This window comes from Homo sapiens, chromosome 2, assembly GCF_000001405.40.
Source record: "Homo sapiens chromosome 2, GRCh38.p14 Primary Assembly".
Taxonomy (NCBI): Eukaryota; Metazoa; Chordata; class Mammalia; order Primates; family Hominidae; genus Homo; species Homo sapiens.
Window position 1 is genome coordinate 227542049 of NC_000002.12, and position 23610 is coordinate 227565658.

Here is a 23610-nt window from a genome sequence, read left to right on the forward strand (position 1 = left end):
TGAGACTTTGGGCTGAGATGAGGGGGTTTTCGAAATATACAATCATGTCATCTGCAAACAGGGACAATTTGACTTCCTCTTTTCCTAATTGAATACCCGTTATTTTTTTCTCTTGCCTGATTGCCCTGGCCAGAAGTTCCAACACTATGTTGAATAGGAGTGGTGAGAGAGGGCATACCTGTCATGTGCCAGTTTTCAAAGGGAATGCTTCCAGTTTTTGCCCATTCAGTATGATATTGGCTGTGGGTTCGTCATAAATAGCTCTTATTATTTTGAGGTATGTTCCATCAATACCTAGTTTATTGGGAGTTTTTAGCATGAAGGGCTGTTGAATTTTGTCAAAGGCCTTTTCTGCATCTATTGAGATACTCGTGGTTTTAGCCTTTGGTTCTGTGTATATGATGGATTATGTTTATTGATTTGCATATGTTGAACCAGCCTTGCATCCCAGGGGTGAAGCCAGCTTGATCATGGTGGATAAGCTTTTTGATGTGCTGCTGGATTTGGTTTGCCAGTATTTTATTGAGGATTTTTACATCGATGTTCATCAGGGATATTGGTCTAAAATTCTCTTTTTTTGTTGTGCCTTTGCCAGGCTTTGGTATCAGGATGATGCTGGCCTCATAAAATGAGTTAGGGAGGATTCCCTCTTTTTCTATTGATTGGAAGTTTCAGAAGGAATGGAACCAGCTCCTCTTTGTACCTCTGGTAGAATTTGGCTGTCAATCTGTCTGGTCCTGGACTTTTTTTGGTTGGTAGACTGCTATTGCCTCAATTTCAGAGCCTGTTATTGGTCTATTCAGGGATTCAACTTCATCCTGGTTTAGTCTTGAGAGGGTGTTGTATGTGTCCAGGAATTTATCCATTTCTTCTAGATTTTCTAGTTTATTTGCATAGAGGTGTTTATAGTATTCTCTGATGGTAGTTTGTATTTCCGTGGGATCAGTGGTGATACCCCCTTTATCATTTTTTATTGCATCTATTTGATTCTTCTCTCTTTTCTTCTTTATTAGTCTTGCTAGCGGTCTGTCAATTTTGTTGATCTTTTCAAAAAACCAGCTCCTGGATTCATGGATTTTTTTGAGGGTTTTTTGTGTCTCTCTCTCCTTCAATTCTGCTGTGATCTTAGTTATTTCTTATCTTCTGCTGCCTTTTGAATATGTTTGCTCTTGCTTCTCTAGTTCTTTTAATTGTGATGTTAGGGTGTTAATTTTATATCTTTCCTGCTTTCTCGTGGGCATTTAGTGCTATAAATTTTCCTCTACACACTGCTTTAAATCTGTCCCAGAGATTCTGGTATGTTGTGTCTTTGTTCTCATTGGTCTCAAATAACATCTTTATTTCTGCCTTCATTTCATTATTCACCCAGTAGTCATTCAGGAGCAGGTTGTTCAGTTTCCATGTAGTTTTGCGGTTTTGATTGAGTTTCTTAATCCTGAGTTCTAATTTGATTGCACTGTGGTCTGAGAGACAGTTTGTTATGATTTCTGTTATTTTGCATTTGCTGAAGAGTGCTTTACTTCCAATTATGTGGTCAATTTTGGAATAAGTGAGATGTGGTGCTAAGAGGAATGTATATTCTGTTGATTTGGGATGAAGAGTTCTGTAGATGTCTATTAGGTCTGCTTGGTGCAGAGCAGAGTCCAAGTCCTGGATATCCTTGTTAAATTTCTGTCTCATTGATCTGTCTGATGTTGACAGTGGGGTGTTAAAGTCTCCCATTATTATTGTGTGGGAGTCTAAGTCTCTTTGTAGGTCTCTAAGGACTTGCTTTTTAAATCTGGGTTCTCCTGTATTGGGTGCATATATATTTAGGATAGTTAGCTCTTCTTGTTGAATTGATCCTCTTCTTGTTGAATTGATCCCTTTACCATTATGTAATGGTCTTCTTTGTCTCTTTTGATCTTTGTTGGTTTAAAGTCTGTTTTATCAGAGACTAGGATTGCAACCTCTGCTTTTTTTTGTTTTCTATTTGCTTGGTAGATCTTCCTCCATCCCTTTATTTTGAGCCTATGTATGTCTCTGCACGTGAGATGGGTTTCCTGAATACAGCACGCTGATAGGTCTTGACTCTTTATCCAATTTGCCATTCTGTGTCTTTTTTTTTTTTTTTTTTTTTTTTTTGAGACGGAGTCTCGCTTTGTCACCCAGCCTGGAGTGCAGTGGCGCGATCTTGGCTCACTGCAGGCTCCGCCTCCTGGGTTCACGCCATTCTCCTGCCTCAGCCTTCCCAGTAGCTTGGACTACAGGCACCCACCACCACACCCGGCTAATTTTTTGTATTTTTAGTAGAGACGGGATTTCACCTTGTTAGCCAGGATGGTGTCGATCTCCTGACCTCGTCATCTGCCTGTCTTGGCCTCCCAAAGTCAGTCTGTGTCTTTTAATTGGGGCATTTAGCCCATTTACATTTAAGGTTAATATTGTTATGTGTGAATTTGATCCTGTCATTATGATGTTAGCTGGTTATTTTGCTCATTAGTTGATGCAGTTTCTTCCTAGCATCGATGGTCTTTACAGTTTGGCATGTTTTTGCAGTGACTGGTACCGGTTGTTCTTTCTATGTTTAGTACTTCCTTCAGGAGCTCTTGTAAGGCAGGCCTGGTGGTGACAGAATCTCTCAGCATTTGCTTGTCTGTAAAGGATTTTATTTCTCCTTCACTTATGAAGCTTAGTTTGGCTGGATATGAAATTCTGGGTTGAAAATTCTTTTTTTTAAGAATGTTGAATATTGGCCACCACTCTTTTCTGGCTTGTAGAGTTTCTGCTGAGAGATCCCCTGTTAGTCTAATGGGCTTCCTTTTGTGGGTAGCCCGACCTTTCTCTCTGGCTGCCCTTAACATTTTTTCCTTCATTTCAAGCTTGGTGAATCTGACAATTATGTATCTTGGCGTTGCTGTTCTCAGGGATTATCTTTGTGGTGTTCTCTGTATTTCCTGAATTTGAAGGTTGGCTTGCCTTGCTATATTGGGGAAGTTCTCCTGGATAATATCCTGCAGAGTGTTTTCCAACTTGGTTCCATTCTCCCCGTCACTTTCAGGTATACCAATCAGACGTAGATTTGGTCTTTTCACATAGTCCCGTAGTTCTTGGAGGCTTTGTTTGTTTCTTTTTACTCTTTTTTCTCTAAACGTCTCTTCTCACTTTATTTCATTCATTTGATGTTCAGTCACTGGTACCCTTTCTTCCACTTGATTGAATCAGCTACTGAAGCTTGTGTATGCTTCACATAGTTCTTGTGCCATGGTTTTCAGCTCCATCAGGTCATTTAAGATCTTCCCTACGCTGTTTATTTTGGTTTGCCATTCGTCTAATCTTTCTTCAAGGTTTTTAGCTTCCTTGCGATAGGTTTGAACATCCTCCTTTAGCTCGGAGAAGTTTGTTATTACCGATCTTCTCAAGCCTACTTCTGTCAGTTCGTCTAAAGTCATTCTCTGTCCAGCTTTGTTCCATTGCTGGCGAGGAGCTGCAGTCCTTTGGAGGAGAAGAGGCACTCTGGTTTTTAGAATTTTCAGCCTTTCTGCTCTGGTTTCTCCCCATCTTTGTGGTTTTATCTACCTTTGGTCTTTGATGATGGTGACCTACAGATGGGGTTTTGGTGTGGGTGTCCTTTTTTTTGATGTTGATGCTACTCCTTTCTTTTTGTTACTTTTCCTTCAAACAGTCAGGACCCTCAGCTGCAGGTCTGTTGGAGTTTGCTGGTGGTCCACTCCAGACCCTGTTTGCCTGGGTATCACCAGCGGAGGCTGCAGAACAGCAAATATTGCAAAACAGCAAATGTTGCTGCCTGATCCTTCCTCTGGAAGCTTCGTCTCAGAGGGGCACCTGGCTGTATGAGGTGTCAATCGGCCCCTACTGGGAGGTGTCTCCCAGTTAGGCTACTGCGGGGGTCAGGGACCCACTTGAGGAGGCAGTCTGGCCATTCTCAGATCTCAGACTCCATGCTGGGAGAACCATTGCTCTCTACAAAGCTGTCAGACAGAGACGTTTAAGTCTCCAGAAGTTTCTGCTGCCTTTTTTCAGCTATGCCCTGCCCCCAGTGGTGGAGTCTATAGAGGCAGGCAGGCCTTGTTGAGCTGCAGTGGGTTCCACCTAGTTCAAGCTTCCTGGCCACTTTGTTTACCAAGTCAAGCCTCAGTAATGGCGGGCGCCCCTCCCCCAGCCTTGCTGCCGCCTCGCAGTTCAATCAAGACTGCTGTGCTAGCAGTGAGCAAGGCTCCATGGGTGTGGGACCTGCTGAGCCAGGCGCGGGATATAATCTTCTGGTGTGCCGTTTGCTAAGACCTTTGGCAAAGTGCAGTATTAGGGCGGGAGTGTCCCGATTTTCCAGGTACCGTCTGTCACAGCTTCTGTTGGCTAGGAAAGGGAATTCCCTGACCCCTTGCACTTCCCGGGTGAGGTGATGCCCCGCCTTGCTTCGGCTCACACTCCGTGGGCTACACCCACTGTCCAACCAGTCCCAGTGAGATGAACCCAGTACCTCAGTTGGAAATGCAGAAATCACCCTTCTTCTGCGTCACTCACGCTGGGAGCTGTAGACTGGAGCCGTTCCTATTCTGCCATCTTGGAACTCCCTTCTGGGGCTGTAGCTTTTTAAAAAACTGTAATATTACATAGTAACTCTCATTAGGAGATTAGCCTATTGTGGCCTAATTTTCAGATTCTATGATATTTAGTGTTTTTCCCCCCTCAGAGCCCTTAAATCTAATTAATAGAGGTTAAAATAATTTTTAAATAGTAGGAAATTTTTATAACTCTTAGGTCTCTCCTTTGTCACTGAATGGATAGTCATTATTTCCTACCATTTATTTTAATGAATGAATGGTTTCAAAGATTTTTTTTCCCTAAGGAAAGGTACTTACCAAAATGCAGAGCTTATTGGATGGCATCTGGCCCTCAGATCTTTGTTTATTACCTAGGTGGAAACCAATTTGCTAAGATTAATGAATTTGCCTTAAAGGTTCAAAATTCAGTAATGGCTGATCTGATATTAATACCCAGAATGCTTCTGAACCAACACTGTTTTTGTTCCAGTACAGTTGCCTCCATATTTATACTTCAGTTTCACATTGATGAAACATACACAAATTAACATTATGCACTATTCCTTATATCTAAATACTTAGTAGGCTCACTTCACTTGCCTAGCATACTCAGGAAGTGAGGATTAATACAAAAAAGGGTTGGAGGTAGCTGAGCAAAAGCAAAGAAAAAACCCTAAGTAGAAAGTTACCTTGGGCTGTGAAGGATATATTTTGTTTATAGAATTGCTGCTGATTTGCTCTCCTTGTGCTCTTTCCCTCTCAATTTACTCTTAATATTTGGACATCTCTAATATTTAATAATCTACAATTGGTATTTTAAAAAGGAGCCAGAAATGAAAATTGTTGCCAATGTGGTAATCAAAACAAGAAAGACAGGAAAGTTGTAAAAATTAACACAACAGAAAAATTAAGCTTAATAGCAGTCTGGAGAAAATATTTGCAAATCCTACATCTGATAAGGGACTTGTATTCAGAATGTGCAAAGAACTCGTAACGACTAAATAATAAAAAGACACCCCAATTAAAAAGTGAGCAAAATATTTGAATAGACATTTCTCTAAGAAGGTATACAGATGGCCAATAAAAGAAAAGACAGTGATGAACAATGTAAGGAGGTAGAGAAAATAGAAACCTCGTATATTGCTTGTGGGAATATAAAATGGTACAACCCCTTGGAAAACATTTTGGCAGTTCCTCAAAATGGTCATCATGGAGTTACCATATAACCTAACAGAGTGCCACTATTAGGAATATACCAAAGAGGAATGAAAACATAGATCTGCACAAAAATTTGTACACAAATGTTCATACCATCAGTATTTATCATCGCTAAGAAGTAGAAACAACCCAAGTGCCCGTCAACTGATGAAACCAAATGTCGAATAGTCATACAATGACAAATTACTTGATAATAAAAAGTGATGAAGCATTGATACATGCTACAACATGGATGAACCTTGAAAACATTCTGCTGAGCAGAAGAAACTCGTCACAAAAGGCCACATATTTGTGGTGGCCATTTGTATGAAATGTCCAGAATTGGAAAGAAAAAGTAGATCAATGATTGCCAGGGGGTAGGGTTTTAGTAGTGGTGGGGCAGCATGGGAAGTGACAGCTGATAGGTATCACATTTCTTTTGAGGGGGATGAAAATATTCTAAAATTAGATTCTGATGGTGGTTGTACATCCCTGTGAATATATTTAAAGAATCATTGAATTCTGTAAGTGAATGAATTGTGTGTAGTATGTGAACTATATTTCAGAAAGCTGTAAAAAGTCTAAAAAAAGTTTAGAGCAGTTCAGGACCAGAGCTTGGGGGGCATCTTTGTTGCAGACTGAGGTATAGTGATTAATATTGGTTAACAGTCACTGTTGGCTAAAAGTCAGTTTTTGCCAGTGCGTTTTGTGAAACATGTCTCCTGTAATGTTGTTAGCAAAATTCTGTGGAAAAGTGTTCTATGTCTAAATACATATGAGAAATGCTGGAATAAACACAGTTTAATCAATGTCATTAATGCAAGACTGCTCTGAGCCTGTAAAGTGCTTTAAGATAAAGTAGATAAGGCCGGGTGCAGTGGCTCACGCCTGTAATCCCAGCACTTTGGGAGGCCGAGGCAGGCGGATCACGAGGTCAGGAGATCGAGACCATCCTGGCTAACACGGTGAAACCCCGTCTCTACTAAAAATACAAAAAATTAGCTGGGCATGGTGGTGGGCACCTGTAGTCCCAGCTACTTGGGAGGCTGAGGCAGGAGAATGGCGTGAACCCGGGAGGTGGAGCTTGCAGTGAGCCGAGATCACACCACTGCACTCCATCCTGGGCGACAGAGCGAGACTCCGTCTCAAAAAGAAAAAAAAGAAAGTAGATAAATATAAGGGCCACATTAATTTTTCACAGGCCCTTCTCCCTCAGTTAACCTTTTTTTTTTTGTATTTGGAACACAGTGACACTTTTTTAAGTTAGCAAGAAAGTTACATTCATTGAGTATTTATTGCAAAGCACTCTAATTCGTTGTTACATTTATTCTTCACAGCAGCTTTGTGAAGTATAGATACTATTGTCTCTATCCCTCCACCTCATTTGCAAATGAGGAAACTGAAGCTTATAAAATAAAGTAACATCATGCAGCCAGAAAATGACAGAACCACAACTCAGAACCATTCAATTTTTTAATCATTCTTATGCCAATTTAAAAAGTATTCTAATTTTAAATCCATGGAAATATATTTTAGACACAATCTTCAGATTGTTAAACCGAACAAACAAAAGGTACTAGTATTTAACAATTTAAGTTTACTTTCTATTAACTTTATATGTAACCTGTCTGTCCTCAAACATGCCAGGTGAGTAAGATCTGTACAAGATGCCTTTTTCTTTTTTCTCTCTTCTTTTCAGCCATTGTATTTTAACCTGTAAATACCGCTTACCTTTCTCTTGAACTAGAATATTTAATAATTTTTCCCTTGTAATACTTAATTAGTTCATTTGAGTTATTTGTGTATTTCTAGTTAATGTGCTGATTTGTAAATAAAACAATCTAGCATTGTTCATGCACTCTCTCCCAAGACTTGGTTTTGATCCTAAATGTAGATGCTGGATAATCTCATATGATCCTATGAATAGCGTATTTAGATGTAGCTTATGATGCCTACAAAGCATTTTTTAATGACTGTAAAAAAGTTGATGCCTATTTGTTTAAAAAATTGATTTCATCACTGTTTCTTAATTTGTTATTTATTATTCTAATCTCCCCTTTATTTTAAACAGTATAAATATTACAGGTCATGAAGATGGTTGAAATTAAAAGTCTTATTTTGTGAATGTGTTTTTGTTATGTATTATGCTACCCCCTTAGCAACAGTACACTCGAATTTTATAACTTTTTAATGAAACAAGTATACTTTTATTTTAACAATAGTTATCTATAAATTAATTGACGTTGGTCTCTTTATGGCTTTCCATAAGGCCTTTCTGGAGCAATGCATTCTCAAGTGTTTCCTCACGCTCATTTTGGTAGGTGGCCACAATTAATATCTAGATTTGTGTGGCAATTTGTCTACCTGCTTGTGGAAGCTTCTGCTAGTGTTCTGGATCCCTGCATGTGGAATTAAGTTTTTTTCCATGTTTTAAAATGGAGTGGGCATGGATGTGTGGCATTGGGATTACATTGTATTTAAAATTACATGGAAATGTTTTTAGTGATTTATGTGTAAATGCTGAAAAGCATTACTGCTTACCTACATGGTCATATTAGAATGTTAATAGCCATTTTGATTCTTTTTCTTGAGTTTGAATTCATGGTACTTTGAGTGACGCCTTTTTGATATACCAAACCATTTTACTGCATTATTCCATGGAGTTTGGTTTTGCTTAACTGTATTCAAGTTTTGCTTTTAAGTGCTCTCTTAAAGTGATTTGTCAAAGTTACGTCGGTGCATTGTCGTCTGTTATGAAGCCCTCCTGTTACCCTTGCAGTGTGCTTATTATTCTTTAATTCACCTGCTTCCCAATGGCCTGTTTTTCCTTTTTTTCGCATCAGTAATAAAAAAGTAATTTTTTAATATTCTAATTAGGTTCATTGAGCAGAATTGCATTGTTACAAACATACGACTACAGGGATTACTTTGGGCAACATCTATTACTTGTTTTTCAGCTTTTTAAAAATAAAAGACATTCCGTGTAATATTTTTTAGTATTTAATTTCTGTGCCTTAAATCAATGAACAAATTGGTAAATTTGTTAAAATCAGGAAATTTAGTGAATTTTCATGGTATTTTGATTGCATCATGCTAAGAATATTTCATTATGTAATTACTAATAGTCTATATTCAAAGCAACATTATTGGCTCTTATTTTACTGAGACCCTTCCTAAAACACATAGTTGGAGGTTTTGTTTTTAATATTCACTAGTAATAAATAACATACTGTAAGTGAATAGTAAAGAGGGAAATGATGGCAGCATTCCACATATGTAGCAGTTGTTCACACACATTTCTCCCGATGTGGTAATACTCTGTCCACCAAGTAATACCAGCGAGGCATGGCAAGCCAAGGAAGAATACAGTAGCATTGAACACTTTGGCCATTTATTCTGCATTCTTCTAGGAATGCTTATTTCACTTCTAATCTTTATGGATTTCACACTAATTTCGATAGCTCAGTTGCCCTAACCTTCCTTCAGTCTCGCAAAGCTGTCTTCATTTACCTTCCATAAGAGGGTGGGAGTCGTGTGTGTGTGTGTGTATGGAATTGATTTAATAGGAAAATATCCTTTTAATTGTGTTAGTGTTGTTAAGAGAATCTCTCTTCTCTGGCTGTAGTTACAAAGCTGCATAGGTTCTGAGTGGTCTGCCTGTAACTAACTATTTGTCCTATAAGTCCTGTTCTTTTTAGCGAACTATTCTTCAGCGGTTTAAAATTTTTTTTTGCAGGAACACATATTATGTTATGACAGATACTTCAGGAGATAAAATTTTGGCTGTTATTTTACTGCATATAACAAAACAAAACTAAAAACAAAAATGTATACTAGTATACATATTAATTGCATGATCTTTAAAACACAAGACTACTGTTTAGACTTGAATTTATAATTTGAGAAATTGTCTTGGGATTTCAAACAACAGCTTTAGTAGTTAGTTTCATTCTGGTCATTGTGTTTTAGAAGAATAAAATTTCTACAAGTTACGTTAAACTGTGTAGCACTAAAACTCATTAACTTTGTTGGAATTTTGGAATTAACCCTGCCTTTAATGTACATCTTAGTATTTTTCAAGGTAAATGATGTCTTTTTACATTTACAATGTTGTGAGAAACTAAACATATCCTGTTGTATGTAACTGATCAGCCCTTCTCTTCTGTCAGCGGCAACCTTTGGCACTGCATCCATGAGCATGCCCACAGGATTCGGCACTCCTGCTCCCTACAGTCTTCCCACCAGCTTTAGTGGCAGCTTTCAGCAGCCTGCCTTTCCAGCCCAAGCAGCTTTCCCTCAACAGACAGCTTTTTCTCAACAGCCCAATGGTAAGATCTAACATTTGGCGAGCTGTAAGTTCATTTTATGTATCCTTTTTATATCATAATGTTGTGTGCTTGGGCAGGAAGACTTTTCTAAAGAATACTATAGTATTATCTACTGAGTGTTTACACAAAAATAAAAGCCTTTGGTGATTTGGACCTCAGAAAGCTAAGTGATTTTACAAGTTTTTGTGAGCAGGTTACAATTTATGGGAAATCAGTGACTATGTAAAGAGCATCCCGTCATTCTCAGAATTTCTATTGCCTTTTTCTGATTATTTCGTCTTACATGTTCTAATATACCTCTTGATTTTAAAAGGAGAATTTATAGACCTAGAATGTTGGGATTTTTTTTTCCTTTCAGGACAGAAATGTGTACCTTTTTGTGTGTGAAATAGACTACTTTTCTAATTTGGTAACTATACTGTAGTTAGAGTTTGTTATTTGATTTTAGAAAGAGACAAGAAGATTAACTCGACATTTTTACGTATTTCATTTGCTTCAGTTTGAAGTGCATAGATTTGAAGATTCTTGAATCACAACTATGTGGTTTCTTTTTTCTTTTTTTTTTTTTTTAAGTAAGTGGTTATTTAAAAATCTGAAATATGGGCTGGGCGTGGTGGCTTACGCCTGTAATCCCAGCACTTTGGGAGGCTGAAGTGGGCGGATCATCTGAGCTCGGGAGTTCAGGACCAGCCTGACCAACATAGAGAAACCCCGTCTCTACTAAAAATACAAAATTAGCCAGGCGTGGTGGCACATGCCTGTAATCCCAGCTGTTCAGGAAGGCCGAGGCAGGAGAATTGCTTGAACCCGGGAGGCGGAGGTTGTGGTGAGCCGAGATCGCCATTGCACTCCAGCTTGGGTGACAAGAGTGAAATTCCATCTCAAAAAAAAAAAAAAAAAAAAATCTGAAATATGGACCCTGGAAGAGCCATAAATAATAAAAATATTTCCTACAAAATACTGTGATGTTTACATAGAAATCATTGTGTTGTCTGCACAGCCTGTTCCAAATAGTCACAAGCTCGTCTAGTAATGAAATTCTATAAATTTTAGTTATTGAGACAAGTTAGAATGAAAGAGCTGAATGAAAGTTCTCTTGGCCAGGTGTGATGGCTCACGCCTATAATCCCAGCCCTTTGGGAGGCCAAGACAGGTGGATCAGTCGAGTCCAGGAGATTGAGACCAGCCTGGGCAATGTAGTGAAACCCTGTCTACAAAAAATACAAAAATTAGCTGGGCGTGCTGGCGTGTGCCTGTAGTTCCAGCTACTCGGGAAACTGAGGTGGAAGGATCACCTGAGCCCTGGAGGTTGAGGCTGCAGTGAGCCATGATCATGCTACTGGACTCTGGCCTGGGTAATAGAGTGAGATCATGTCTCAAAAAAAAAAAAAAAAAGGTTATTTTAAGACATGCTACAGTAAGTTTGTCTTTGGTATCTGAAAGAGCTTGAGGCCTAACAACTTAACTTTAACATTTTATTTTTGCTGCTCTGGTAGGAATGTCTCTGAAAGTTATTATGAGGCTTTATAAGCATCAGATTGTCTCTTGAAGGTATGGGTTATAATTGGTGGTTCTATTTTAACAAGGTGCAGGTTTTGCAGCATTTGGACAAACAAAGCCAGTAGTAACCCCTTTTGGTCAAGTTGCAGCTGCTGGAGTATCTAGTAATCCTTTTATGGTAAGCAAAATTTAAAATTAAATACTTTATAAGTTGTTAAATCTTATTTTAAAATTAGGAATAGCAGGATGTTAATATTCCTAGATGGTATTTGGTGTTATATTGATATGAGTGACATCATAAGATTGTACAAATTGACACAGAGCCATTATGTGTGATCCTTTTCTGACCTTTTAAAAAATTAGTTGCAAATCAAAGCATTGATAGTTTTTAAAAAATTAGTTGCAAATCAAAGCATTGACAGTAGATCAGCTATTTTATAATATGAAACTTATCTGCTTTCTTGTCAAAATAACACTTTATGAGAGGCCCTAGGAATTAGTGAACATAAAAGAGAGGTCTTAAGAGTCAGAAGTTTTGTTTGAATCACACGTGCTTTTCTAAGACCATTCTAAGATTCTTCTTAGAATCTATTACAAGAACTGTTTGAAGTACTGGATATGAAAGACGTAGCACAGTTCATGACACATAGTAGTTTGATATAGCTTATTGCCAATAACAAATATTATTGCCAATAATTTAAAAAATAATTCTTAACCAAAAAGTCTAATTAAAAAAATTAAATTCAGTTTAATGTTTTTATATTTTGTACATGCACTACTTTTGTCTCTTTATTTATTTGTCTTATGTTTTCCTTTAGACTGGTGCACCAACAGGACAATTTCCAACAGGAAGCTCATCAACCAATCCTTTCTTATAGCCTTATATAGACAATTTACTGGAACGAACTTTTATGTGGTCACATTACATCTCTCCACCTCTTGCACTGTTGTCTTGTTTCACTGATCTTAGCTTTAAACACAAGAGAAGTCTTTAAAAAGCCTGCATTGTGTATTAAACACCAGGTAATATGTGCAAAACCGAGGGCTCCAGTAACACCTTCTAACCTGTGAATTGGCAGAAAAGGGTAGCGGTATCATGTATATTAAAATTGGCTAATATTAAGTTATTGCAGATACCACATTCATTATGCTGCAGTACTGTACATATTTTTCTTAGAAATTAGCTATTTGTGCATATCAGTATTTGTAACTTTAACACATTGTTATGTGAGAAATGTTACTGGGGAAATAGATCAGCCACTTTTAAGGTGCTGTCATATATCTTGGAATGAATGACCTAAAATCATTTTAACCATTGCTACTGGAAAGTAACAGAGTCAAAATTGGAAGGTTTTATTCATTCTTGAATTTTTCCTTTCTAAAGAGCTCTTCTATTTATACATGCCTAAATTCTTTTAAAATGTAGAGGGATACCTGTCTGCATAATAAAGCTGATCATGTTTTGCTACAGTTTGCAGGTGAAAAAAAATAAATATTATAAAATATGCTATTGTTTTTGTGTTCTTGCTGCAATGCCTTTACCAAAGTGGCCTTAAATATGAGTAGTGAATTGAGAACATCTTGAATTCTTAAAAGACTTCTTAGTGACTTTTTATAAAAAGGCCATGTAGAAAATTTATTAAAACTACTATGACTGCTACATTCAGGAATATGCCAGTGGTAAAGCATTTAAATGTAGCTTGTCAGATTTACCATAATCCTACTAATTTCTTTGCAGCTTATTAATTTTGTGAAATTTGTATATATGAAGAATTTGCATGTATGTGTATTTACAAATTTTTCTAAGTATCTTGAATTCTCAGACTGCAAAAGGCCTATTTTAACTATTGATTTTTTTTAAAAAAAATTGTCTTTGAATGTATTGGAAGTAGACATGCATTAACTGTGACATTATTGCACCTCAGTTTTTTTCTTTCTTTTTTTGGGCAAACTGATATTATCTATAGGATATTTGTTTATGTTTGTTTTTTGGGGGAAAGAAACTGGAACTCAGTGTTACCTTAAAGTTACGGAATACTTTGTTTTAAAGGAAAAGATAATAAGTTTAGTTATATCTTTTTGTTAATATTCAAATGAACTTGTTTAAGTATCTATGTACAGTAATGCCTCATTCATCTAGAGGTAATCTGGCAGTCTTGTGAAAACCGAACACAACTCAGAAACTTGGAATCGTTTTTTTTAAAAATGCCTCTGAGCAACCCATATAAGTCACAAAGTCTGTGTGTTAGAGCTTATGCATTTGTTTTTATGAGAGATTTTAATAAATTTAATTATTTGCTTGTCCAGACTATAGCATATTAGCTGTTTAGAAGGGATGGCTTGAAAGGAAGGAGACTGAAAAACACTCTGAGAGCATACACTGTCCAAGGCCATTAGTGTAAGGACCGCTACCCAGCCTAGAGGACATCACTATACTACATCATCTGATGATTATTCTTTATTATGCCTCTAGGTAATTAAGTAAAGGTGAAATTGCATACACAGATATGTAGTACATATTTTAAAAGTTTTATCTTAAATTGATTAAAACTTTTTAAAAAGCTTTGGTATTAAAAGAGGTAAACATCAGTTTCCTCAAACATTTTATTCATGTTGAATGCCTTTTTGCAATGATGACTGAGTTGTTATCATAGTATTTTAAAACCTGTATAGTGTTTTAGACTTGTTAAAACATTGCTGTCTAGTGTACATCTAGCTAAAAGTGTGGTTTATCTAAACCGTTTTAATAAGCAAGATGACTGGGAAATCTCTGCCCCTTTTCTGAGCAGTATGCCTCTTCTTTTAGAATTAAATGAATGCTGCACAGGTCCAGATGTGTGTTGATGTAGACTTGAAATGTCTCCACATTTTGGAGGACTTCCTCAGCCCTTTTCATTGAGGGAAAATATATTTGAATTTCTGTTTTAGATTGTATCGGGTCCCAGTTGATTCATGTGTACAAAGTTATGCTACCTAATTACAGACCATTACCCAAATATCCTACCAGGCTTTCCATCTGAATAGTAAATTAAACAGTTGTTATCAAAATGATTTTAAAGACTATTTCTTTTTCTGGGTAACTATTGAAGTTTGTAATTAAATGGGGGCTCTTACTGACTTTAAATTAGCGCTTATAAAATAAAAATGTTTAGTTCAAGAAGAGACCCAAGCTGGGTATGGTGGTGTGAGAGCCTGTGAGTCCTAGCTACCTGGAGGTGAGGTGGGAACATCACTTGAGCCCAGGAGTTGGAGGCTGCAGTGCGCTACGATCACACCACTGCACACCAGCCTGGGGATAGAGTGAGATCCCATCTCTAAAAAATGAAAAAAAGAAGAGAGGTAGCTTTAAAGTGGTTTTTCTCATGATATTCACTGTTTATTATTAAAGAAAATCAGCTTTCGTTAGACTTTTACATTTAGATTTATTCTAGTTTTATATAGACCATCAAAATTATGTTGAGTACTAAAAAGGAGAAAAAATCCTGGAAGGTAACAAGGCTGAAGACCTTCAAATTTCCTGGCTTACTGGTTTAGTCACATCATTTTTCCTGTTCAGGTATCTGCAGATATCCCTGTTCAGGAAAGATCTTTTTTCAGGATGGCAAACTTTTGACATAGTTTAAAGACATTTTTTCCCCATTTTTTGAAATAGAGAATATTTTATTATTTTTGTGAAAATAGAGTTTTGGTAATCACTTTCTTCCTCAAAATAAGTCCTTCTGTTAATTTGTAAAAGCACATTAGTGCTTTACCTGTGAAATTCCCCGCCCCCCTGCACACACACCCACTTTAGTACAGTTCCTGTCAATTGGCAACATGGAGAGGGTGACCTGGCTGCTGGTTTACCACTGTACCAACATCTCTGGAGCATTTTAGTTTCAGAACCTTAACACTCCCCAACAGCTTTGTTGATGTAGCTTGTATCTCTGAGAATTTATTGTATTAAAATTAATACTGAGATATTTTTAAAACATGTTTATTTATTTAAGTATAACAGTAATAAACTAATAACTTGCTAACATAAATACCATTTTTGATAAAAATAACTTTTCCAAAACAAAAACTAATGAGAACAGGAACATTGTTTTACATTTTATGCATTTAAATCTGGCTTAATAAAAGCAGTGAGATTTTCATGCTGCTTTTGCATTCCAACTTAAAAATTACACAGCATACACACGCTGGAAAACTCCACTGTGCACTTGTGAGATCAGGAGAATGAAAACTATGTAATATCTCAGTAGTACAATGAAAATAGTTTGACTTTTCACAGCCTTTCAAAGAAAGGGTTGTAGGGACCATTAAGGGTCTCCAGACTCTTTGAGAACCACTATACTTTAAATTTGTGTATTTCTAGAACAGTATTTACTTGCAGGGCAAACATAACTATTCCCTGGGTTTTTTTTGTTTGCTAGTGAGAACTGAAATTGCAGACTTTTTAACACTACTTCAAGGTAATAATAGCAGTGGTATTATGGGCTGTGTATGAGATAGTCATTTGTAAAACAATTTTCATATTTCATCTCTTACAATCCCTGCAGTGGACCTATACTTTTAGGATGAAAGAAGCAAAGCATAGAGAGGTTAAGCTAGTGGCAGCTTTTTGCTCTGGGGAACAGATTTGGATTAAATGCTATCACATTTATATATGAATGCATTCTTTCTTAATATTTTGAAATTCTGAACAAGTTAACGTTCTTGTCTTGTATATCTAAAAAAACTTTAATCACTTGAATTCCTTTCATAATTTGATGAAATCAGTACAGTTTATTCTTGGTTTTTTTTTTTAACTTTAGAAGTAAATTAATATGGTAACTAGTGGAGCGTGCTTTAGATTGAAGACTCATCTGAAGTATCACAGACTCCTATTTTGTAAAGCATTCCACCTTTATTGATACAGTTTGTGGCCTATACACTTTTAAAATTTATTTTTTAAAAGGTGATATTAAAATTTGTATTTAACCTGTTGTATTCATCCTCATTAGTTAAGTTTTTCTTTTTATGTTTTAAAACTTAGTGACATTAAACTTTTCACGTGGTTGTTTGTGAACAGATGAATATATAACCACGATGTAATCCAGTGTTGTGCTGCTGAATGTTTAACAACCATCTTTCATGAAAGAAAAAAGGCCCTGTTTTGTAGCATTTACTAATATTTATGGTATAAATACTGTCTTCATGGTGATTTTACCTGCCAATCTGATGTCATTAAATGCAGTTTGATGAAAGAGATAGCCAACCAGTGGCTTTCCCAAGCCTTGGCAAACCAGCTTCAGCACAGCAAAGGACATACAATTCCACAACTCATTAATTAAATGTATTGGTCATTTGATGATTATATCCAGTATTTGGAGAGCTTTTATATTGTTAATTCATTTAGCAAGCATTTGAACACTTGTTTATTTTTAGAGATATACTGGGCACTGAGGTATTTAATCTGCAAAGACCCAAGTATCGTGAACCTTGGTTTTAAAAAGTCCAATTATTGTGCTCTTATAGGGGTTGCACATTCAAGGCTTACACTGAATTCTGTCTGCAGTTCTGTTTTGTGTGACCAGCACAGTGTTTTAAAACGTTGCATTCTGAATCCATCTTTTTGAAATGGGGCATGTACTCTTAAGGTGGCCACTAGCTTACCATTCCCAATTTTTCTTAGTCTCAAACATTCACATGTTTTTCAAGGCCTTGGAGTTGGCAAATCCTGAATATATAGTGAAGGTAGGAAATAGCTCTTCTTATGCCACATCTTAGTCTGATTTTGAAGTCAGTTGTGTAAGTTTGGGCTGACAGTGGTATTTTCCAGTGAAGACTATCGCCAAGAATGCATATCATTCTGCTTATTTTATTCTAGTGGATAAAAATTCAACGTATATTTAAGTGTATTTTTGACATCTGTGCTTGTCCAACACAGGGCTGTAGGGACTGATGAAAAGAGAATGTTGTGATTTGAGCTTTTATAAAAAAAGATAAGTGATCCTAGATAAAATATTTTAGATGGTGATTAAAATGCCCATAGATTAATTTTTTAATCGGTTCTCTGAAATCTTGAGATGTTATCCAAGTTACAATTTAAGCAATGAGAGTAAAATTTGAATTCTAAATTCTCAGCATCTTCCCTCATTCTTGAGTGGAGAGACAGAGGAAGCAAACGCCAAGGAGCCTTCTAATTTTGACTATATGATCATTAACTAAAGGCAGCAAGGGATTGTAAACTAATCTTACATAGTCAATGTTTCATAGAATGCTTTGGTTACAATCAGGTTTTTTAAAGACTTTAAAGGTTTTTTGTATGCTATAATATATGCTTATGATTTCTAAAAATTATGCAGTATACACAAAGGGCATAAAGTCAAAAAGTGTGTCTCCCTCTGTGACTTTATTCTCATACCCCAGAGGCATATAATTTCTTGTATTCTTGTGTAGTCTTTAAGAAATGTTATCGTTTATTTTATATATGGCTCTCTCTCTGTATGCCTCTTCCTGTTCTTATTTTAAATGTTCAAGTTTGTGACTTGGTTCTTGTTTAACTTGGTTGTCTTTCCATATTGCCACCTTCCAGCTCTAACATTAATGTCTCCAGGATTCCATTATATGGATGTCCCTTTGGGAGAACATTTGTTTATAGACTTTTCTACTAAAAATATTGTTATAATGATAATATCCTTATGCATATATGAAGATTACTCTTGATTCTGCCTGACTGGAAACTTTATTAATAAAGTAGACATTATTCTATTTTGAGGCTCACCAGCTGTGTAGGTATGATCTTGTGCTTCCATTTAAGAAATTCTTCCATTTAAAGAAGAAAAAAAATCTCTCTGACTATCTGAAGATATATGAAAAAGCCTATGCTTTTAAATTAAACTGTTAAGACAGTCCATTGAAAGATTGTGGAAGTTCACATCTATTTTGCACCTTAATTTTTTCATTGTCCCTACTCATGACTCTAAAAAGTGCATGGCTTGGGGCTATACTTTGTTTTGCAGTTTGTTGGTATCGTGCCTTTCCTTATCTACATTAGCTTAGACTATACCTTATTTTTAAGAAGAGAAAGTGGAAATTAACTGTGGCAAAACCTATTTTGGCACAACCACATTTGTTCATTATACAAAATTAGCTTCCTATGCTTTAGAAAAAATGTGAGTTATTACTCTGAAAGTTGTGATTCTGATTCCTCATGGTTTGGAGCTCAGAAATTTCTTAACATGTCTTTGCTGTTAGTCAAGCACAGGATTTGTTTTCTGCAAAAGTTTATTTTCAATGAAGAATACTTGTCCTAATAGCTCATAAAAAGTACCTTTGCACTTTAAATCCTAGGAATAGGGAACAAGGAAACTTACTGGGAAGTTCAAAAGAAAGAATAACAGGACCTTCTAGTCAGCAGGGCATGTTTGGAAAATGTTAATACGCCATGATTTTTGAAGACCAATTTTAGTTCAGGAGGTGGTTTTAAATATTGGATGAAAACTTACAGGCTGTTTTCAATATTCATTTCTGAAATACTTTAGTATGATAGATAAATTTGGTTAAGTTCTTGTTCATTGTGAAATACTGTTGGAAGAATTTTTTTCAAAATAAAGACTTCTGAATTTGTGTACCATTTGGGAATAGCCTCTTTCATTTAAATGAGTGTCAAATCTGGAAAATTGGAAGAATATTTGTTCCTTTCATCACTCACATTATGCATTTCTGTAAAGCAGCTCATGCATTTACTTCCAGCTTAACGTGTTTTCCATTAATTAATAAGTTTTGCCATTTTTTTCTGTATTTTTCAATTAAAAAGTCTTCATTTTTAAAAAGCAGGATCTATTTGTTACTTAATTTGCAATATTTTTTTTTCAAAGATGGATTTTTTTTTTTCTGGAGTACACATTGATGGAAGTTGGTTTTAAGAAAGCATTGTAATGGGAATTTACCTACCTTACTACTGTTGAAGTTTAGAAGGTAAATGCTGAACTGTGTTTGTCACATCCCTAATCTTATTTCTCTGTAGTGGTCACTGACTATTATTTGTTATGAGTCCATCTTGATTATTCTGTACATCTTGTTTAAATTATTTTCACTAACCATCACCAGAACACAGAAGAAAATTTTGTTTCCTTAGAATCAATGAGTATTTCCACCACCTGAGGGTGGGGGACAAGGAGGAGAGAACTAATGTTTGTTTTAGCCTCTTTAATGAGAAACTATTCAAATTATTTTTCTTCATTTTTTTTCTCAAATGGTATGCTAATGATTTTTGCTGACCTCAAGATTTGGGGCTCTGTGAAAAGTACTATACCAGAGTTAAATTGCCTGTGTTCTTTTCTGCCATTAACTGGCTTTGGGTTGGGAAATTCAGATAATTCCACTTTTCCAACTTTAAAATGAGATCTCATTCAAAACAAAATTGCCCACAACCATTTGGAATATGTGTTTAAATTAGACAGTAATGCTTTGGAAAGTGGAATTAAACATTTCAGAATAATAGCTGTTAGGCCGGGCTCAATGGCTCACGCCTGTAGGGAGGCTGAGGCAGGTGGATCACCTGAGGTCAGGAGTTCGAGACCAGCCTGGCCAACATGTTAAAACCCTATCTCTATTAAAAATACAAAAATGAGGCATGGTTGGCAGGTGCCCGTTGTCCCAGCTACTTAGGAGGCTGAGGCAGGAGAATTGCTTGAACCAGGGAGGTGGAGGTTGCAGTAAGCTGAGATTGCGCCAGTGCACTCTAACTTGGGCAACAAGAGTGAGATTCTGTCTCAAAAAATAATAATAATTAAAAAATAATAGTTGTTAGATTGAACATAGAAAACACGTTTTTGTAGATAAAAATTGCCAAGTGTCAGCAACTTTGACAATTTTTAAATCACCAACTTGTGCCATTTACCTCATCTAATTGATCCCATTTAATGGACACAAAAACCCTTTAAGGCAGTATTTGTCAGAAGAAAACACAAGTGTTCGCTTGACCAGGATTGCACAGCTAATTAGTAAGTGGCAGGAGTAGAATTCTGTCTGACTTTAAAATTAATCTTCCTGTCAATATTGTATTCCTGCTTTGAAGCTCCTCATTCTAGCAGTTTTAATGAGTATGGATATTTAAAAAAAAAAAAAAAAACACCTGTTTCACAAGCACTGTTGGAAACTGTAAGGACTACTCACAGCCTTCCTACCCCAAATTTGGAGTTTTTTCCTTCCACATTTGCTTCCTGCCAATGTGAAATATTTTGTTGTGATCATAACCAGTTAATTTTTAACCCATTTATGCCTAGTGTTCCATTATTGGAATGCTAAGCTTGTGGGAATTATTTATATCCTACTGCTCAAGGTCATTGCCAAGGTCTAATTTTTCACAAAAAAATTTGCAACTTCCAGCATAAATGGATTAATGTTGAATTTTTCCTACATACGAGTTTTCTTCCAAACAAAATACATTTACATTTGTTATTTTTTCTGATGGTGAAAATACATAATTATTGTAAGGAATTTGAAAATAGAGAAAAGTTTGTAATCTTGTGCAGGTATAAGTATGTCTGGATTGTGTTTTATGGATAAGTATAAAGACTTCTTACAGAATGGCATCATATTATGCTTACTATTTTGTAACCTTTTCCTCAATATATCATGGTTTTCTTTCAGTGTCAAATATAGAACCAGATTCTCTTCCAATGAAGTTTCATTATATGGAGTTCTCATAATTAATCTCTATGACAAATGTTAATATTGTTTCCAATTTTCAACATCAGGAATTTTACCTGTGTTTTTATTTTTATTTTACCTGTACACATGATTTGGAGTCATGTTTTCTTAGAAATTGAATTGCCGAGTGAACAGTGTACATCTTAAGAACATTGATACGTCTCCTCTTCTGTACTGCAATGTAGATTTTGTGGTCATTTGTCATTTTTCATAATGTTAATTGAATACCTCTAACTTTTCATTTGGATTATGTCTGGGAATTAAATATTTGTAAATCACACTATTGGCTTATAAGGATTAACATCCTCTCAACTTAATTACTATTTAAAGAGATTGTTTTAATTTATGGAATACCAAAAAAGGCACGTGGGCCATTTTTACTCCAGTTCTTTTTAATGATTGCTGATTTCAGGGGATTCTTCATTTTTTTCTTTTTTTTGATTACTAGTGAGTTGGATTTTTTTTCATGATTTTCTACTTGCATTTTCTCATTTATGAATTGTGTTAAAAGTTTAAGGCATTAATTGGATCAACTAAATTTACGTTTTTATTCATTTATCTCATTTTGGGATTTCAGAGGCACAAACTGGGACTTTCGTATTGCTAATGATGTCATTTAACTTTTAGGCTGAATAACTTAATCTGTAATCTAGAGATTGAAAAATCTAGATAACTGCTAAACTTCCTTCTAGTTTCATAATTTTTTAAAAATCAGAGAAGGATAACTTATTCAGATCCTCTGGTTGAACTGGTTGTTATGCAGACTTAAAAGCTTATTTCTTCACCCTACCCTACATCTAGAACACATAGAAATGGCTGTTGTATTTTTTTGTTTTTGTTTTTTTTGTTTGTTTTTTTGGTGTGTGTTAGTTTCACTGTGATGTGTCTGAATGTGGATGTTTTATTTTTGTGTTGTGCGTGGGATTTGATATGCTTGAATCTGTATTGGGTGGGTGGGTGGGTGGGTGGGAGGGTGTGTGTGTGTGTGTGTGTGTGTGTGTGTGTGTGTGTGTTGCTACCAGCTCTGCAAGTTTCTCAGCCATCCTGTACTCAAGTATTAATTGCCCTATTTTCTGCATTAACTTTTAAGGTTTTTAAACGTTTTAAAGAAGGAACTAAGTAAAATTCTTTGGAATCCTTGAAGGGTTTTAAGCATTTAAAATGTTTATGGTTATCAGTATCGATTCAGACTAAATTTCTATAAAGTTATCAAAGAAGAATATAAATTTAGAATACATAAGTCATAATATGATTTTAGAACAATACTGTTTCAGCCTTTCTATTTTAGTTGCTAACTGTATTTGGGTAGGTCTCCCAAATAAGGAGAGAAGAGAGGAATTGCCAGGCCTTCCAGATAAGATTTCCAGTATTCTAAACTATGGAAATGTTAGAGAAACTTGCAAATTCTAGCAGGCCAGAGACATTGAATGTTTTTTTTCTTATTAAGAAATAATACTTTAAAATGCAGAACAATTTTGACTTCAGTGATGTTTGAGAACTGCTCATGTAAAAGAAATCACACTAAATGCTGTATGTCCTTGTCGTAGTAGCTTCCATTTAGTAGGTGTTATATTTGGTGCCACTTTGCTAAGTGATTTTTAAAATAATATTTCCTATAATTTTCACAATCTTATATGTAGGTATGATTTCTATTTTACCAGACAAAACAGGCGTAGAAATGATGGTTTACTTGCTCAAGTAAAGTAAGTAGCAGAACTGAGCTTTGAATCCAGCTCAAGAGTAGGTATGCAGAACCACTCCACCACAGTGCCTTGAAGGAACTGGTCTTCTAGAAGGGAGTATGGTGTATATGTAAGTCCACACCAAGGGCAGGGAAGTGGGGCTGTGGGAGAGTAAAGACATCTCAATCCGACCTAATACAGATTTATGAAGGAGCAGTAGATGGAAGACTAAGGGGGGAAGAGAAAAGGAAGCAGGAAGAAAAGAGGCCTGTATATTGGGGTTATGCTGTATTGGGGTCCAAAATACATTGGACAGGTTTTCTCTTCAGGGCATTTGATTAAAGGGTGGTAGGTGTGGGTATGGGTGTGGGGGTATATGTGTGTGTGTGTGTGTGTCTGACTGTTGGTGAAAGTACTTAATGCAAAATAATTCCTTTCCAGATCTCTCTGGCATGAAGAACATGGAACAAGGTATAACAGTTAATAATAGTTGTGTTTAAAATTAGTGTGAAGTAGTATTCGATTGGAATTCTGTATAGCATATATTATTTCACCTAAGGCATTAAAGATGATTACAGTCATTTACTACTAAAAATGTGGTCTGAGGACCTACAGCCTGGATGTAGTCACCTTGAAGCTTGTTAATCATGCAGAATCTCAGGCCCCATCCCAGGGTAA

The 23610-nt window shown here is 36.1% G+C and overlaps 1 protein-coding gene across 4 annotated transcripts in view; it reads left to right on the forward strand.

Moving 5' to 3' along the window:
- Window positions 1–19169, forward strand: part of AGFG1 (ArfGAP with FG repeats 1) — an 89062-nt gene extending 69893 nt beyond the window's left edge. For 2 of the 4 annotated variants that reach the window (NM_001135187.2, NM_001135188.2), the window contains 3 exons: window positions 9911–10069; window positions 11662–11747; window positions 12388–19169. In NM_001135187.2, coding sequence (NP_001128659.1) covers window positions 9911–10069; window positions 11662–11747; window positions 12388–12447 — 305 coding nt within the window. In that variant the 3' untranslated portion in view covers window positions 12448–19169. Of the gene's footprint in view, window positions 1–9910; window positions 10070–11655; window positions 11748–12387 lie in introns of all 4 variants that reach the window. The other 2 variants (NM_004504.5, NM_001135189.2) reach the window with 1 other exon arrangement.
- The last annotated feature ends 4441 nt before the right edge of the window (window positions 19170–23610 follow it).